The following is a 20,060-nucleotide window of genomic DNA, read 5'->3' on the forward strand; positions in this document are numbered from 1 at the left end:
TGCAGTGGCATAATCTCGGCTCACCACAACCTCTGCCTCCCAGGTTCAAGTGATTCTCCTGCCTCAGCCTCCCAAATAGCTGGGATTACTGGCGCCCACCACCATGCCTGGCTAATTTTTGTGTTTTTAGTAGATACAGGGTTTCACCATGTTGGCCAGGCTGGTCTCGAGCTCCTGAACTCAAGTGATCCATCTGCCTTGGCCTCCCAAAGTGCTGGGATTACAGGCATCAGCCACCACACCTAGCCCCCTCTCTGTCTTTCCCTATCTGTTTGTAGTTTAACTGTGGGCTGGGCTGTCATCTTCCCTTCGCGCTGCACCCTTTGTCTGAAATATTCCTCTTCCCACCTGGCTAGCATGACCTCCTTTAAGTCTTCCTGGAAACGCCTAGCTCTGAATCACCCACAACACTGGACAAATCTTCACTATTAGCCTTTGCCTAAAAGCTATACTTAGAGTTTCTTTTAGGAAGGGGTTGTGTTTTATTGATATTCATATCCCCAGAGGAATACAGATGTATAATCAAAGAGCATTAGCTCTAGATAACTGGTTTCTCTTATGTCTTTGGCAATGGTTTGAGAGAGTAATTTCAAAGCAAACTGACTCATTTAAAGTTAAAAAAAAAAACACAGTACTTTCAGTATAATAATGTAATAATGGTAATAAGGCTAATGTTATTAGTTACTTACAAAGTGTTTGATAATGGTCTCAATAATGATCATGTGATTATAACATTTAATCATTACAAAAATCCTGCAACTACTATAGCTATTTTATAGATTAGAAACTGAAGGCTCAGAGAATTTAAATAACATGCCCAAGGTCACAAAGACAGAAATGAGCAAAGCTGCCATGTAACTGCTGACACAGTCTAAGCCTTTACACTCTATTTTATTGCCTAGTCTTGCTGAAAACGAAAAAATGTTGTAGCAAGGTTTGTGAACATAGTCTTAAATTGATTTTGTTACAAAATGACTACTAAATCTTTGGTGTTAGACTTTATGTGAAGAATACGAACTTGTGACTGATTATGCACATGTTTCCTGAGTACTGGAATCTGATCCCCAAGCTTCGAACACCATCTATATTCCCATTACTCTCAAATGTATATTTACAGTACAGATCTTTCTCTCAAACTCCAAATCATATCTTCAGGTCTTGACATTTCCTCTTGCATGTCAAATAGGCACCTCAAATGTAGTATTTCAAGCCATGAACTGCTGATCTTTCCCTCACAAATCAGCTCTGCCCACATTCTTATCCATTCCTGTTAACGGATACTCTGTCCTTCCAGCTGCTCATGCTCAAAACCTTGGGGTTAACTTTGACTCCTCTTTTTCTGCACAACTCACAAATCCATTAGGTAATCCTGTAGGCTCTCCCTTCAGAACAGATCTGGAATCTGACTGCTTTTCACTGTCTCCACTGCCATCTCTCACATGGATCACTGTAACTGCCCTCCAGCTCATCTCCCAGCTTCTACCCTGGTCTCTTACAGTCTGTTGTCAACACAGCAGCCAGAGAGCCTCTGAAAACAAATCACATCATGTCACTCCTCTGCCCCAAACCATATAGTGACTTCCTGTATCATTCAGAGAAAAACTTAAGGTCCTCCCAGTGGCCTATAGTGATACCCCACCCCCTTACATTTCTGACCCCATTTCCTAATTCTCTTACTGCTCATTCTGCTATAGCCACACTGTCCTCCTTAATGTTTCTATAACAACCGTAAGTATATTCCTGGCTTTTGGTCTTAGCAATGACTGTTCATTCTTCCGGGAACTCTTTTCCCCCAGAAATCCATACAACCAACTCCCTCACCTCCTTCACAAGTCATTGACTAATCTCACATTCTCAATGATGCTGTCCTAACCACCCTATTTGCAATTGTATTCCCACCCTGATCCCAGCACTCTCAATCCCTCTCCTTGCACTGCTTTTTCGCATAGCATTCATAGTATTCATACTGTATAATTATTTATTATGGTTTTATTTTATTATCTGTCTTCTGCTACAATATAAACTCTACTCATGTTCCCCAAGCTCCTAGTACATAGTGGTGGCTGGAACATAGTAAATGCTCAATAAGTCATTGCTGAACAAATGAATTCTACCAACTCTTCATAATCAACCTGAGTTCTCATTAGTATGGAAGAGCAAAAAGCTATCTCAGGGTAGCATCCATGTTCATAGCTAATAATAGGAGAGGTGGTGCTAGAACAGCATAAACACTGGGCAGCAGTCATATATCAGTATACCTCACAATGAATATGCATATGGACTTTGGAGTCTGGCAGCCTGGATTCAGATATTGAATCCAGGCTTTGTAAAATGAGAAAAAAAAATGCCTATCTTGTAGTGTTGATTGCCTTTTTATTGAAAACTTTGATAGTGCCAGGCACTATTCTAAATGTTTTCCAAATACTAACTTAATTAATCCTCATAACAAATCTATGAGTAGGAACTAATAATATTCGCATTTTACAGATGTGGAAACTAAGACATAGAAAGTGTAAGTAACTTTCTCAAAGGCATGTAGCTAGTAAAATGTGGAGCTGGGATTTGAACCTGTCTATTTGATACTAAAGTTCATCTCTGCTATGCTGACACTCCTTGTGGAAAGGATTAAATAATTCAATGCAAGTCAAGTTCTTTGTAATGCCAGACATTTGGTACAATCAAAATCTGTTGGCTACTGCTGTTATAATTACTATTATTACTACTTGACAATATGTGTTCTGAAGCTATTTTCATGCTTCAGAAATGGATATATCATATATATATATATATGTATACCTACTATGTACCCACAGAAATTAAAAATTAAAAAAGAAATTAATGTATCCATAAAGAACTAATATAAAACATACTAAATATGCTTTTCCTAAACCTAGTCACTAAGTACAAAACCTGGATGGTACTTATTGCACAGAACTTACAAACATGTTGAATTAAAATGGCTTAGGTGGCAAACAGAACATGGGCCCTTCATAATTTCATTGTTAGTGATGCCTTTTTAAATTCTTCCTGAGTAGGTTGTAAGTTTTCCAATTCAAATAATTTTTAAATACTAAGAAAGTTGGCTTTGCCATTCCTGTAATGAGATATTGATGGCAAAGGGAAAAAATTCAGAAGCTGATTTTGCTTTGGAAAAACTGGTGCCGCTGTTCTTCCTCTGCGTTATGATTATAGCAATTCCTCCTTATCTGCAGTTTTATTTTCTGTGGTTTCAGTTACCTCCAATTAACTGCAGTCTGAAAATATTAAGTAGACAATTCCAGAAATAAACCATCCCTGTTTTAAATTGTGTGCTGTTAGGAGTAGTGTGATGATAATCTCACATTGTCTGCTCTATCCATCTGGATGTCTGGCACATTCACGCTGTTTACACTACCTGCCTTAGTCACTTTGCAGCCATCTTTGGTATCAGATTGGCTGTTGTGTTCTTGCTGTACTTTTTTTTTTTTTTTTTTAAACAGGGTTTTGCTCTGTCACCTAGGCTGGAGTGCAATGACACAATCATAGCTCACTGCAGCCTCGACCTTCTGGGCTCAAGGAATCCTTCTGCCTCAGCCTCCCAAGTAGCTGGGACTACAGGCATATGCCACCATGCCCGACTAATCTTTTTTTGGTAGAAACATGGTCTCATTTTGTTGCCCAGGCTGGTCTTCAACTCCTGGCTTCAAGTGATCCTCCCGCCTCAGCCTTCCAAAGTTCTGGGATTACAGGCATATGCCACCATGCCTAGCCCTTGCAGTACTTGTGTTCAAGGAACCCTTATTTTACTTAATAATGGCTGAAAGCAGAAGAGTAGTGAGATTGGCATATTGATATAATTATTCCATTTTATTAATGTTGTGTGTGTTTGTTTTTTTGAGACAGGGCCTTGCTATGTCCCCCAGGCTGGATGGCAGTGGCGTGATCATGTCTCACTGCAGCCTCAACATCTTGGGCTCAAGCAATCCTCCCACTTTAACCTCCTGAGTAACTGGGACTACAGGTGTGCACCACCATGCCCGACTAATTTTTCTATTTTTTGTAGAGGTGGGGCTTTGCCATGTTGCCCAGGCTGGTCTCGAACCACTGGGCTCAAGCAATCCTCCTGCCTCAGCCTCCCAAAGTGCTAGGATTATAGACGTGAGCCACCGCGCCCAGCCAGTTATTGTTGTCAATGTCTTACTGTGCCAAATTTATCAATTAAACTTTATCATAAGTATGTATGTATAGAAAAAAACCTGATATATATAGGGTTTGGTATTATGAGCAGTTTTAGGCATCCACTGGGGGTCTTGGAATGTATCCCCTATGGATAAGGGGGGCTACTGTACTTACAGACCGGTGGAAGCTCGTACTCTACTTCAAGAACCACTCTTTCTCCCACATTCTTCAGCAAGCTGATGATCTCGTCATGGCGGAATTTGGCCAGGTTGATTCCATTCACTGCTTTGATGTAGTCACCCACATCCAGCTGGTCACTTCTGCAAAATAGACAATGTTGTTTCAACAGACCCACCCTCTCCATAGGCCAGTCTGACTATATTTCCACTTTCCCTTCATGGTAAGCATGCAAGTGTAGAAGCAAGCCTAGAAGGCTGACAGCAGAAGTCCCTGCCTCCTAGGAGACGGTGGGCCCTTAAGGGTAAGAGTACAGCTGAAGTCAGATGAGAGCCAGGGATCCCTTTTACTCATGCAGCCTGTGATACTTTGGAAGTCCTGCTCTGATTCTGCCACTATCTCTGATTTTTTTCCTTTTTGCCTGTTTTATTTTTAAAAGCACCATAAAACAAAATCAAGAGAAGCTTTTTTTTTTTTTTTTTTTTTTTTCAGTTCTTTGCCCTAAACCAGTTGGTTCTCTGGGATGGGATCCAGATCCTAGACACAACACATGTCTTTTTATTCTCAATCCCTCTTGTTTTTGCTGCCTCCCTTTTGTACATTTCACCTCTTTCAATAACTTCACTGGGAGTTTGTCCAGGACTAAGGAAAGGGTCAGCTTATTTTGCTATTTATTGCTTACAGCAGGATTGATAAGAAGAGTATTGGTGAAGGAGAAATCACAATGCAAATATTGGGTTTCAGTAACATTCTTATCTCTCTATACCACCATAACAGAATATTGGCTGCTCTTGGACTTTAGTCAAACTCCGTTTCTAAACCAAGAGCAGGTAGCAAGACCAATAATAAGAGTTAAAATTCATGTCACTGATAAGGACCTTCAATAACATTTTCTCCCAAAACAGAAATAGCTAATGCATTTATTTTATATATAAATCCAGCTCCAATCATTCCTCCTTCAAAGAGCCTCCTAATCTGCTCCAGTCTGCAGTACATGCATGGCCCTTACCTCACTTTCCTGACACTTATGTCAACTTAACCGCCTAATGCTCTGTAATAACTTCTGTGCTGTTGCTTTTTGCTATCATGCAATGCCATTTTTACTCCCAAATGTTTCATGTTTTTTATGCCTTATCTCCACTAATAGATTGTGAGCCCCTTTAGGGCAAGGATCTCATCTTTAATTATTCTGATTTACTACCTTCAAAATGGTAGTGCCTTTAACAGTGACTATTTGGTGATTTTTAATTCTCAATATAACTGGCACAGTAATACTTTTAATTACAGAATTAATACAACTGAAAATGCTACCCTTTCCTCCATTCACACTTGCCTTAAGGGAGAGCTATAAAGAAGCTCTGGAGACTTATGAACCCCTAGCATCATGAACTGGCCATGATTGTTATAAAATAAAGGAGGTTGTGGGTGTGGAAAGATGCTTCTTAAAAGCCTAAAGAAAGCAGATTGAGGTGCTTGTGTCCACACCAGCCTCCCTTACAAACAATAACTTCTGATCATGGAGGCAATCCACTGGATTAAGTTTATAAATTGTACAAACAGGTTGATCATTAAAATTAATCACAGAAATCACCACTTCAGATGACATTTTATGGGGCAAGAACTCAGATTTAACCTGGAATTATGTGGATATGAATATTGGTGGCCAGAATTTAAGGTACTTTGGCCTCACTTTTATTTTTTATTTTTACTTATTTATTTATTTATTTATTTGAGATGGAGTTTCGCTGCTGTTGTCCAGGCTGGAGTGCAATGGCACAGTCTTAGTTCACTGCAACCTCCGCCTCCTGGGCGGATTCAAGTGATTCTCCTGCCTCAGCCTCCCAAGTAGCTGGGATTACAGGCATGTGCCATCACACCTGGCTTTTTTTTTTTAATTTTTTTTTTAAATTTTTTTAGTAGAGATGGGTTTCACCATGTTGGTCAAGCTGGTCTCGAACTCCTGACCTCAGGTGATTCACCTGCCTTGGCCTCCCAATGTGCTGGGATTACAGGCATGAGTCACTGCCCGGCCTGGCCTCATTTTTAATGAAACCTGATCTTCTGTCCCCTTTTTCTGAGGCAGATTTAGAATGTATCTCAAGGAAGCCCACCCCTGCCCAGTATCCAGGACATTCTGCCTTTGGCAATAACTAGTGGAATTTGCAGTTCATGGAAAGAAAGACAGGTGAGACCTCCTCCTCTAAGCCTTCTGTCCTTTCGGAAACCAACTCTTTAAAATCTCACAGGTAGAAAAGGAGAGAGGATGTGAGATAAACAAAATTTTCACTGAAAACTCAGAGTTAGGTCTCCCATTCTTTCTAGGGTAGCCATGTCCCCTCTCTGGCACTTTTCCCCATTCACATTATATGGGTCATCTGTTTCACATTTAGATGATTGGAGTGTCTCCTTCCCACTGCAGCTTGTCTGCTGTTCAGTGGCACATTTGCAGACAAGATTCACATAGGCTTTTTGAAATTAAAATCTTGTGAGGGCCTGGCAGCTCCTGAGATGACACAAGAACCTCCCTGGGACTGCAGCCTAGGCTAGAACAGCCACATGGGCAGACCTGGGGAACAGCTTCTGAAACGTGCCCCACTGTGCTTCTGCTGGCCTGTGCTGCCTGGCAGATGGCAGCTGTCATTTATTTATTAGTGACCACTTTTGATGGAGCTTTAATTTTTGAATTAATTACACCCTGTGTTCCTTTCAGTAGATTTCCCCAAGAGGCAGTTACCTAGCAGCAATTCCTCCTTGCCGCAGATTAGATACTCTTGGCTTGCCATCCTTATCAATTCCTCCCGATACCGTCAGACCCAGGGTAGTGCCTTCCTTCTTCATCAGCTCGACGACTGTGGAGCCCTTGAATTCCTCTGTTAAAAGAAAAGCATTTGCCTTATTAAAATGAGAGTAGAATCACCAATGTCATTTCTCCTCCCCAGAAGTTCTTTCCACTTTTTCTTTTATGAGAAAAGATATTTATGGCCTCCTTCCATTGTAATTTGAAGAATATTTCATAAAGATGTGCATGCAGGTAATGCTGAGGCAGATATTCTATTAGAGGTTATGAAAATGGGCACTGGTGGGGTATTCACTCCAGGTTGACAATAGTCCAAATTGTCTTATGTACAAATAATATTCACCCTTTATTTTCTGCCATTCTCAGGTGACATTCTCTGGTTTCTCTCCTTGTAACTCCAATGGGAACAATTAAAAATTGTAAAGTACAGAATTAGAACAGAATTTTAGATGATAATACGAACATATATAGCACAGTGGCACACTCCAAGTTCATGGTATGTCTCAGGTTAGGAAGCCAACTGAAAGGAGAAGAGTGCTTTCTACAGGTTCTAGAAAAATATTATTGACTTTACTTTCTTTGTCTTTCAAAAACAAAGTATGATGGCTTATGTAACAATTCATGTCATTCTTGCAGAATATGTCACAGTATGGCAAGGCAGGATTGATCCTCAGAATTTCCAGGTAACTGACATAAATCTTTCATTCTCTGCTTACGAAATTTTAAAATTTCACAGATCTTGTGGGGATAATATCTATATAGCAAGATAGAACTCAACTCTTTTGATTTTAGTCAGAGCAGAAGGTAAGAAAACTGTAAGAATATCCTTCCCTTCAAAAATAAAAATGAGTAGAGTCAATATTTACCTTCCAGAGGCTAATTAGGATAAATGCTGTTTTAAAATTATCTGTGATGTTATTCCCCTATCTGCAAATATATTTTCTTGGTAGGGATGGGGAAATTGTCCAATTTTCCAACTTCTCCTAAATTAAGTTACACATTTCAGGGGTAATGAACTTCTAGAACATCAAAGACGCATATTAAAATGCAAAAACAAACTCGCTCTTTCAAAGTGAAATTTAAAAAAAGATTATTTGCACACCTTAACCCTTTCCCTAATTACAGTTATTTATAATGTTGAAAATATTTATAAATGTGTATCATAAAGGTTTTTAAATTGCTGCTGCTAGTACATTATCCTACTAGCCAATGAAAAAATGAAATTACATTAGGTAAGGAAACAGTATCTCAACTGATCTAGTGAGGAGAACAGAGTACTTGGGGGAAGAAGGCTGGGGACGGCAGGCTACTTATTTCCTCAGCAGCCTAGAGAATGTCCTTCAAGGCAGGGCTTTTGAGTTTGCCAGCTCCTGTGACTTTAACATCCCAGCATACCATCACTGGAATCCTGCCTTTTCATGGCAGTCTCATGACACTGTATACATAAGTCATTATCGTCTTTTAAAGTAGAAGCCAAGGAGGAGTCTGAGCGTGTATGATGTCAGCTTCATCTACTACATTTTGTATGACAGACCAAATAAAAATTGAAATTCAAGAATGAAAATTCTTGTCAAGTGCATGAAAGTACAGGACCTTTTACATCATTTACCAGAAACATCTGTAACAAAATTCTATCACTGTGTGCACTTCCCTTGTGCTACTTAAAACAAAACAAAGCAAACCCCAGAAATCTCATGAAAACATACGTAGATTCAACTGATATTGAAGACATCACCTTAATAAACAATCCCTCTAAACCCTTGCTGGCAGAAGGCTAGGTATAAATTTTTTTAAAATAAAGTTAATAATTAAAGTAACCAAAATGACATAGATGATGACCGTTCATATTAAAGAGATATAATGTGCCCAACAATTTTGCCAACAAAAAGATTCTCTGCATCTTCTTTAAATATGCAGAGTATCCTATATATTTAGACATCTGATTATAGAACTTTACATGTAGAGTTGGAAGCATAGTTTTTTTTAAGTGCTTATCTTAAAGGTCTATCCAATTTTCATGAAGAAGCAACTCTAAAATACTAACACCAGGCATGTGAGAAGTAAGTTTCTATTCATAAAAATTTTCCTTCTACTCCAAGTTTTCAAGGACATGCTTCCTGCATAAAATAGGATGCACGGGTACAGCCTTATGGGAGGCAGACAATGTCATTTTCTCCAGAAGGAACCCAGGTGCTTCCTGGGCTTCCGGCTGAATCCTGAAAATCTAGAAAAGCTCAATTATTTTAGTTTAATTTCATCATTATTAAAATATAAATTCATCGATCTGGCTACTTTTTCAACTGATACTTGTCAATTACCCTATCATTTAAAAACATTTCAAATGTTTTCCTAAGAGCTAATTTTAATAATGTGAAATTGAGAAAATATTCCTGCACCAGTTAATTGAGTAATTTGTGCATTCATTGATTCAAGCACGTATTGAATGCCTACTCTGAGCCAGACAATAAAACTCAAAGATGGAAAAAGCAAAGGCCATTATCCTCAAGATGGGCCACAGCCTAGTCAAAGAGGCAACGTCACAGACCACTGTACCATACAGCATGAGTTGTAGGGAAGCAGCCACAGAGAAGATGGTCCAGGCAACAACGTAGAGCGAAGGCCTGAGATTCCAAATGCACCATCTATTTTACAATTTTGTCTTCTAGCCAATCTGCTGTACTTATCGACCAGGGTTAGCTGAGCAGAGCAGACCAAAGAAGGAATATAAATTAGGCAAAACTCAGGAGTAAAGATAGAACATACTTGCAAGAAAATTTGCTGAATCGCAAGAATGGTAACTGCCAATAAGTATCTCTGGTCCCAGAAGAATTGACTAAATCTTTTATGGATGTTTCTGTAGGGGGTGGGAGAGAAGTGGTCAGGAGAGAAAGGAACCTGCTTTTGGAGTTTGCTTTTGGCTCACCTGAAGTCTCCACTTGGCTAATTAATCATTTAATACCCTTTTTGGTGTTTAATGTTTGCATAGTGATCTAACGAAGACAGAAGAAATGAAGACAGATGCATTCATTTGCATGAGTTCACTTATATATCAAGGCTTACTGAACAAACACTGTGGTAAAACAGTGGAACTTGGGCAAGTCAATATGTACTGATGATTTCTTTCTTTTGTGATTTAAATTGCAAATATCACTCCCTCAATTAAGAGGACCTTGTAGGGAGCACTGTACACTCTTTCAATTAGCAAGCAGCACAGGCAACAGATGATGTCTAACTAGTGAGGAAGGAAATGGTTCTGAATTTGACTTTTTCCTTAATCACCATATTTATTTATCTTAGAAAATAAATGGTATAGGTTTACAGCTATACCATTACTTACTCAACATAACTGAACAGAATCCCACTGATGAAATGAAATTTAGTTGTTTGCTGTTTTTCTTTGTGTTTGTAATTCAATCTTTTTAATTACTGAACTCCAGAAATTTTTAAGAAAAGTAACAGTGATGGTTGGCAAACACAAGAGAATTATGAAAAGTTCTTACGAACAAATAAGAATATTTAAAAACACAGATGGTTATACAATTAATATGCAGAAAACTATATCCTTTATATAGACAAACAACAGCCAGTAAAAGGTTATTATAGAAGAGAAGGCCCCATTTACAATAGCCAAAAGGTAAAATCCCTGGAAAAAACTTAACAAAACTGTGCAACATCTATATGAAGACAACTTTAAAGTGCTTCTGAAGGATATAAGATTAGAATAAATGAAAAGGCATCCCATTCATTCATTCAATAAGAACTGAGCACTTACTATGTGCCAGACAGTGTTTGAGGCATTGGAGATACAACACTGAACAAAATGGATACTATTCCTGCCATCTAAGAACTAATATTCCAGTGGATAGCATAAGTCAACAGAAAAAAGCATTGATTTTCTTTAATCAGTTGTATATCTATATAGTAGCAATGAACATATGTACCTTAAAATTAATAATGAAATATCATATATAATTGTTCAAAAAATGAAATTCTTAGGTGTACAAGTAACAAAACATACAGTACTTACATTGTGAAAACTAAAAAATGCTGTTGAAAGAAATTAAAGAAGGCCTAAATAATTGGAGAGACAAACATGTGCATGGACTGGGAGACTCAGCATAACAAAGACATTAATTCTTTCCAAATTGATATATAGGTTTAATGCAAACCTTATCAAAATCCCAGCAAAATATTTTGTAACTATAGACAAGATTATTCTAAAATTTATATGAAAGGGAAAGGAACAATTTTTAAAAAGAAGAAAGTGGGAGTATTTAGTCTACTCAATTTCAAAACTTACATAGTTAAGAGTAATAAAGACTGTGTGGTAGGCCAGGTGCAGTGGCTCATGCCTATAATTCCAGCACTTTGAGAGGCTGAGAGGGGAGAATCATTTGAGACCAGGTGTTCAAGAGCAGCAACACAGTGAGATCTCATCTCTGCATAATTTTTTTTTTTTTTAAATAGCTGGGCATGGTAGTGTGCACCTGTAGTCCCAGCTACTCAGGAGGCTGAGGCAGTAGGATCACTTGAGCCTGGGAGGTCAAGGCTGCAGTAAGCTATGATCATGCCATTGCACTCCAGTCTGGGCGATAGAGTGATACCCTGTATCAAAAATCATAAGTAAAACCACTGTGGTATTGATGGAGGGATAGACATATAGATCACTGGAACAAAACAGAGGACCCAGGAATAGACTCGCACAAATATGACATACTGTTTTTTGACAAGATGCAAATGCAATTCAATAGAGGAAAGGTAGCCTATTCAACAAATGATGCTGGAGCAATTTGACATCCACAGGCAAAATAAATAAATAAATCCCACAACTTGACCAGAGTTTCACACCTTGTATAAAATTTAACTCAAAATAAATCACAGTCAAAAATGTAAACCATAATATTATAGAAACTGTATGAAATATTTAGAAACTGTAGGAAAACAGGATAAAAATTTTAAGATCTAGGTTTAGCGAAGGGTTTCTAGACTTGACATAAGCATGATCCATAAAAGGAAAAAAAAATCAGCAAATTGGACTTCATCAAAATTAAAAATGAATGCTCTCTGCAAGACCTGCTTAAGATGAAAAGAACATCTACAGACCAGGAAAAAATATCTGCAAACTACATATCCAACAAAAGACAAAAGACTAGTATTTCAAATATACAAGCAACTTTCAAAACTCAACAGTAAAAAAGCAAACAATCTAATTAGAAAATGGGAAAAAGACATGAAATATTTTATTAAAGAGGATATACAGATGGCAGGTAAGTACACACGAAAAAATGCTCAACATTTTCCATTGGGGAAATGGCTCAAATTACTTAAAAATTAAAACTACAATTGATATCATTACACACTTATCAGAAAGGCTAAAATAAAAATTAGTGACAACACCAAATGCTGGTGAGGATGCAGAAAATTAGATCACTCTGACGCTACTGATGGGAATGTAAAATAGGACAACTACTCTGGAAAACAGTTTAGCAGTTTATTAGAAAACTAAATATGCAACCACCCTATGAGCCAGAAATTATACTCCTGGGCATTAATCCTAGAGAAATGAATGCTTTCATTCACACCAAAACCTGTAAGTGAATAATTATCACAGCCTTATTCACAATAGCAGGAAACAGAAACAACCAAGATATCCTGCAACAGGTAAATGGCTAAACAAGTGTGGTTTGTCTATACCACGGAATACTTCTCAGCAATCAAAAGGGTCAAACTAGTGCTACAAGTAACGACCCAGATCAATTACCAGAGAACTATGCTAAGGGCAAAAAGTCAACCCCAAAGATTTCACATTGTGTGATTCCATTTATTTAACATTCTTGAAATGACAAAATTATAGCACTAGAGTATGGGTTAGAAGTTGCCAGGGGTAAGGGCAGGAGGGAAGTGGATGCAGGTATAAAAGAGTAAAGGATTGATCCTTGTGGTGATGGATATGTTCTGTATCTTGACTCCATCCATGTCAATATCCTGGTTGTGATATTACATATAGTTCTGTAGATATTTCTATTGGGGAAAACAAGGTAAAGGATATAAGGAATTTCTATATTATTTTCTACAACTGCATATGAATCTACAATTATCTCAAAATTAGGAGTTTAATTTTTTAAAAAATGTCCCATCAGTGGGTATATGATTCAATTGGTCTGGAGTACGCCTAGGCATCAGTATTTGAAAAGTTCCTCCAGTGGATTCTAACATGCAGCTAGAATTGAGGAACTACTTGTGGTTACTTAAGAGTGAAATGAACATGTGTTGTTCTTTTAGTTTATATATATCTTTTTTCAAATGGCTAATAAGTTGTTAGGATAAAATATGAACTGTGTTGTTTGGACCTAACTACTTAGTAAATTGAACTAGTGGTATTTCATTTGGCCTGGAGGTGCTGTAAAAAATTCTGAGACACTAAAGGCTCTGTGGACTGAGAAAGTTTAGAAACTTCTGCCCTAGGACTTTATCTTGTTTTCATTCAGCTGGTGGAAGGGGAAAGACAGCTCTCTTGAAAGCCATTACTGGCCTGCTTATGTTCACATCCCAAGGGCAAGAACTTATTCCATCCATGTACACACATAAATTCAAAGGAGGCTGAGAACTAGAGTCTAAATAGAGACCCATGCAATGGGGGTAGGGTGGATATGGAGGGACAGGTACTGACTATGCCACCCAGAGGCAACACATGATGGACTAAAATACATCAGAGGCTATGTGGATGACATGGACACCAGACATATTAATGAGGAGGAATTTTCCGGAGTTAGAGACCAATTAGGATGTGGGAAGCATGGAAGTGAGTGAGGATCAAAAAGGCCCCAAGGTTTCCAACTTGTTTGATTGGTGGATGTTGACATCTGTCACTGAGAAAGGGAATCTAGAAAACAGGAAGTTTGTGTTGCTGCGGGTGATTGGAGTGGGGCAGGCACACTATATAATGTCATATAAGATAAATTTAACATTGAAATACCACAGAAAAACTTGGTCTTAAAATACTTTTCATCACACCTCAAAATGCTCTATAAGATCTTCACCACATGGCTGTAGCGTAAAAAGAGAAAGTACAATTTCAAAGCAACCACTAGAGGCATATTCAGCAAAACAGGCGAAGCTCTTTACTTCTTGAAGTACTATTAACTGCAGAGATTTTTAAAAATACTATTAACAGTTAAATAGAAATACTATTGGTGAAAACTCTGTAAAGTAAGTCACAAATTTTGAAATGCTGGTGTCAACAAGAGTGTTTTTTCCCTGCTGTATCTCCAGCATCTAGAATAGTGCCTGGAACATTCACAGGTCCTCCCTGGTAACTGCTGGATGAACGAGCACATCAGTCCCAAAACAGGGAATTATAATGGGGTGGTGAGCATCAGCTTGTGGCAAACAGAATTATTGCTGGACGGTGCAGAAGCAAAATGATAAAGGAGCAGAATCTGAACAGGAGCAGACAGAGTTATTTCCCTAAGCTTACTTGGTTGATTAATTGTACCAATGCCTTAGTAAGGGGAATTAGGGCACGCACCAGAATACTATAGCTATATCTGTGTACTACTATTGAAAAAAATATTATTGCTCATACTACAGTTTTATCTGTATATTACTTTTGGTGGTGCCACTAGGAAGTTTATTCCCCTCAGGAAATAAACAGATGCTTTTTCCAATACTCATTTCAAGCTCTTCCTAATATCCCCTGGTTCAGCAAAGCTGTGGGGATCAAAGCTGGGTTTCTGTGATGAACTGCTGCATTTTCAGTCTCAGTTTTTGCCACCCAGACTAGCAGAGAAAGGTTTTTGGGCATTTTCCACCTCTGTGTAGTGACATGAGGGATATACTAGAATTTTTCTCATCCCTTGGGAGTCTGAACATAAATTTGATCAGTGGCAGGGATGTACAGCACATAAATATTACCTGGCACAAATATTCATGTGAAACAAAATTATGATTGGGATTTATCTCATGCAGTGATGGGAGGGCTGGATTAATATCTGTATGTTTCCTATTGCACCTCCAAAGAAAGGGGATATACAAATATGCAGTGTCAAATACAAAAATATGTGACCCCTGAAGATATGTGATATATGGGTCAGGATTCTTTTAAAAATAGATTGAACAGAGATGTTGACTGTTTTTCTGGCATAACTGATTCAGGTATCAAATGCCTTCTAAAGCATTAAGTTAAAAAAAAATCCCTGCTTTTAAAATATGGCAATACGAGAATTGTTCCAATTTCTACTGCTCCCAAAATCAGTTATTTAATTGTCAAAATTTGCTATTAAGCTTTCCAATGTCAAACTTATTAACAAGTTATTTAGTTTTCACGGGTCTTAGTTTCCTCACATCTAATTTAGGGATAATAATGGTATCTACTTACAGAATGTGGTGAAATTAAGTAATACAATTCTTATAAGGAACTTATGGTAATAACCCACACAGTAAGTGTTCAATATATGTTAGCCAAGGTATTATTGTTGTCTTATTGTCATTATTATTGTTATTTGGATATTGGAAATTTCCAGATATGCAAACTGCCAATTTTCTACTATATTTTGATTGTTATGAATATAAGACAAAAGAATTAACAGTGGTATTTAACTGTTGGTGAAGTCACAGACTACTTTGAGAATTTAATGAAAGCAGTGAACGCTTGTCCCAGAAAAATTGTGTGCATTATTTCAGGGGAATTCATGAATTCCCCCTGGGGTTTATCCATATACCCTACTTTAGAAACTCTGACCTAGAAGATCAGGTTTGAGCAATGTGACAATCAAAGAACAATTTACGCTGGAGTGACATTTTATAATTCGTGTGTATGTTGGGTAGGGGGATGTAGAATAGCAAACAGCACCCACATCTATCAGTCACGTATTCCTACACAATCATCTGATAGTCTAAATAAAACCATGATGCAAGATATCAGAAACAGGAAATGGCTCACCTCAGTGAAACCGCCTCTCTTCCTAAGCATGATGGCCTGAGTGGTGGACATTTAAATGTAAGAGTTGATAAGGGCCAGGAGAAAGCACTGGGCAGGATATCTCGGAATCACACTTGCTTCAAGAGCCTCAGGCAGTTTTCCTTTGGAAAAACTTTCCATCTGTAATTTTCACTTGTAAGCTATTATAAAATCACATTGTTGACATGATTGAAAATCGGAGTTTACAAGTAAAACTGAAGCAATTGGCATGGCTATCTTTGAATTTAATTACTCTGATTTTCAATGTTCCCTTAGATAAGTTAACTACATTCTTACAACTACTTATGGACTGTTTTGTCCTAAAAACGTTTTTAAGCATTTATAATTGCCAGACTCTGTGGTAGAGGCTAGTATTTTGAAGACCAATAATCACTGCCTCTACCTTTCTGCAATTCACATTCTAAATGTCTAAGAGACAAACATCTAATAATTGCAATGAAATGTCGTCAGTCCATAGCATGGCCTGGGAGCCTGAAAGGGAATAACAGCTCAACGTATGCTGCTGAGAAAGTCCTCTATAGGCTACAGATGGCTATTTAGAGGTTTAAGTTCTTCTTTAGATGAAAGTAGAATATTTACTTGCAGTATTACTGTTGTTTCCACTTAATAGAGAAGTGAAGATACCAAGTATTGCTTAGCAAATTAATGAGCTATTTTTGGGAGGAAATCATTTATTTTTGCATGTATTTTTGGGTGTCCTTTTGGCTAGAATCCTTTTTTTTTTTTTTTTTTTTGAGACAAGGTCTCACTCTATTGCCCAGACTGTACTGTAGTGGTGCAATTTTTGCTTACTACAGTCTTAACTTATTGGGCTCAAGGGATCCTCCTGCCTCAGCCCCCTGAGTAGTGTGTGTCACTAGGCCCAGCTAATTTTTTAAAACAATTTTGTTGTTGTTGTTGTTGTTGTACAGATGGGGTCTCACTATGTTGCTTCGGCTGGTTTTGAACTCCTGGGCTCAAGCGATGGTCCTGCCTCAGCCTACCAAAGTGCTGGGACTACAGGCATGAGCCACAGTGCCAGGCAGGGCAGTATCTTATGTTGAATAACTATTTAAATATGAAAATCCAGAACTACTGTGCGGGGATTAGAATGATCAGATGTTCTGATCTGGGAGTCCAGCTGAACAACAAGGGATGGGAGCAGCTGGGTGGATAAAAAGAAAGAACACTCTGGAAGTGAAAGAAGATCCTGAGAAAGATATCAGGTAAGGCTGCACTACAGCTAGTGAGAGCTAGTCATTGCTGAGTTAGGTCGCTTAGTGTTTAACATAAGGGGCCAAATGTTGCATCTTCAAAGACAACTAAGAGGACAAGGCTTGAGGTTCCATTGTGCCTGAAAGGGAAATGGAGAAAGGATAAACTTCAACAAGAAATCAGACTTCTTAAATAATCAGGGCAAAGTAGAACTTAGAGCTACACTCACTTGGCCTTTTTCTTCCATGAATATCTAAGTACCCACGAATCTAACATGAGCTAGGAACCTGACTGAATAGAGAGATTAAAATGAAGAAATTTGTGATACTTTTAAAGACTATCCATTCTTTTAAAGCAGTTTATACTTTTCCAAGTATTCTTACATCCATTCACTAACTTAGCCTTCAGAAAAACTCTGTAAAGAAGGGCATACTACCATTTTATAGATTAGGGACACTGAGACTTGAAAATTAGGGTCCTTTCATTAGGCCGAACTTCATGTCTATTTTACGTACATGAAATTTCCGCCTCATGTAACTAAATGCTACAAAGTTTCAGACTCATCATACAGTAATTGTCAAACAATGGACCAAAAGAATGTATAGATGAAATACTTTTGAGAAAAGGGAAGAAAAGTAAAGCTAGCCTCAAGCAGACTCCAAGCCACAAGGGCACTAGTAAATCAGTCCTCATTTTGTCACAGATGCCTGTGCATCAGGGGCATTTATTTGATTGTCCCTTGTTTGATGAGACTTGATTCATTTCAAATAGAGGAACAGATGGAAAACTAATAGTGTAGTCACTGCAGATCACCAAGAAGCAAAGCATCTGGGGAGCCCTATGGACTTTCCATGGAGAAGCCATGGGCCTGCTGCAGTGAGTCAGAGCTTCATGAGAGCCCTACTCAGACCCACTGGAATTCAGAACTGGAGAAGGCTGTGCTGCCTATATCAAGGACAGCTCTCACACCCTGTATTTGGCTTTCTCTATCCTAACAGGGAGGGTACCATTCTCTCCTGGCCCCTCTCCTGGTCCCTTTCATTTCTTCTGCTCTACATGGGAAACCATTTTCTTGTCACAGAGAAATGTTCCCCATTGCAGTAAGCAGAAAGAGAATGAGCAGATAAAGCAGTCACTACTGTTTCCTCTTTGATGCCATCCATCCTTTTTATTAGTACCTCAATCACCTTATGTAACACTATCTTACCCAAGTATAACTATCTTCTAGCCTCACTCTGAGTTTGAAATGCTTTAGTCCCTCCCTCTCTTCCTCATTTCCTCCCTCCTTCCCTCTCCCTCCCTTGTTTCCCTCCCTATCTTCCATTGAATATCTATTGATAATTTCCTAAATTCTAGGCACTTTGCTATCTAGCAGTAAATGATGTAGACTTAGTCCCTGACCTCAAGGAATTTATATTCTATTAAAAAATACAGACCTTGGGAGGCAGAGCAAGATGGCTGAATAGAAGCCTCCACTGATCATCCTCCCTGCAGGAACACCAAATTTAACAACTATCTACACAGGAAAAGCACCTTCGTAGGAACCAAAAATCAGGTGAGCGATCACAGTACCTGGTTTTAACTTCATATCACTGAAAGAGCCACTGACAAGAGTAGGAAAAACAGTCTTGAATTGCCGATGCCACCCCTTCCCCATCCCGCATGTCTCATGGCACGAAGAATTTATGAGCTTGGGGGAGGAAAAGTGCTGTGATTTTGGGACTTTGCATTGGAACTTGGTGCTTTCCTATCACAATGGAAAGCAATACCAAGCAGAAGTCAGCCAACACCCATGGAGGAAGCATTTGGACCAGCCCTAGCTGGAAGGGAATCCTCCATCCCAGCAGTTGCCATGTGAGCTCCGACAAGCCCCACCACAGTGGACTAAAGTGGTTTGGGGCCCTAAATCTACTTGAAAGGCAGTCTAAGCCACAAGGACTGCAACTCCTAGGCAAGTCCTAGTGCTGTGCTGGGCTAAGAGCCCATTGACTTGGTGGGCATGTGACCTAGTAAGATACCAGCTGGGGTGGCTAAGGGAGTGCTTGCACCACTCCTCCCCCAAGCCCAGGCAGCACAGTTTGCAGTTCCAAAAGTGACCCCTTCCATCTTCTTGAGGAGAGAAGAGGGAAGAGTAAAGAGGACTTTGTCTTGCAACTTGGATACCAACTCAGCTACAGTCAGAGAGGGCACCACACAAAGTTGGGAGGTGTAGCTTCTGAACAAGATTTCTAGACAAAACCTGGGCCAAAACTCACTGCCTTGAAGGGAAGAATCCAATTCTGGCAGGTTTCATCAGCTTCTGACTTAAGAGCTCTTGGCCCTGAATAGTCAGCAGTGGTAGCCAGGTGTAGTACATGCCATGGGCCTTGGGTGAGAATCTGAGACATGCTGGCTTCAAGTGTGACCTAGCATATTCCCAACTGTGGTGGCCATGAGGAAAGACTCTGCTTGAGAAAAACAGAGGAAGAGTGAAGGGGACTTTGTCTTGCAACTTAGGTACCAGTTTGGCCACAGGGGAGTAGAGCACGAAGTGGGCCATTGGGGTTCCCATTCCAGGCCTTGGCTCATGAATGGCATTTATGGACCTGCTTTGGGCTAGAGGGGGGCCCACTGCCCTGAAGGGAGAATCCTGGGGCTGGAAGCATTCATTACAAGCTGACTGAAGAGTCCATGGACCTTAAGTGAACATCGGTGGTACTTTGGCAGTATTCCCCATGGCACACTGGAGGTGGTGGCCATGGGGAGAGGCTCCTC

At 39.1% G+C, this 20,060-nt stretch overlaps 1 protein-coding gene across 22 annotated transcripts in view; it reads right to left on the reverse strand.

The window, feature by feature from the left end:
* GRIP1 (glutamate receptor interacting protein 1) overlaps window positions 1–20,060 on the reverse strand; it is a 721,908-nt gene that overhangs the window by 187,315 nt on the left and 514,533 nt on the right. For all 22 annotated transcript variants that reach the window (XM_047428622.1, XM_005268757.5, NM_001379351.1 and 19 more), the window contains 2 exons: window positions 7,070–7,205; window positions 4,333–4,478 (listed from right to left, as the gene is read on the reverse strand). In XM_047428622.1, coding sequence (XP_047284578.1) covers window positions 4,333–4,478; window positions 7,070–7,205 — 282 coding nt within the window. The remainder of the gene's footprint in view (window positions 1–4,332; window positions 4,479–7,069; window positions 7,206–20,060) is intronic.

The sequence above is a fragment of the Homo sapiens genome, chromosome 12, assembly GCF_000001405.40.
Source record: "Homo sapiens chromosome 12, GRCh38.p14 Primary Assembly".
NCBI classification, from domain to species: domain Eukaryota; kingdom Metazoa; phylum Chordata; class Mammalia; order Primates; family Hominidae; genus Homo; species Homo sapiens.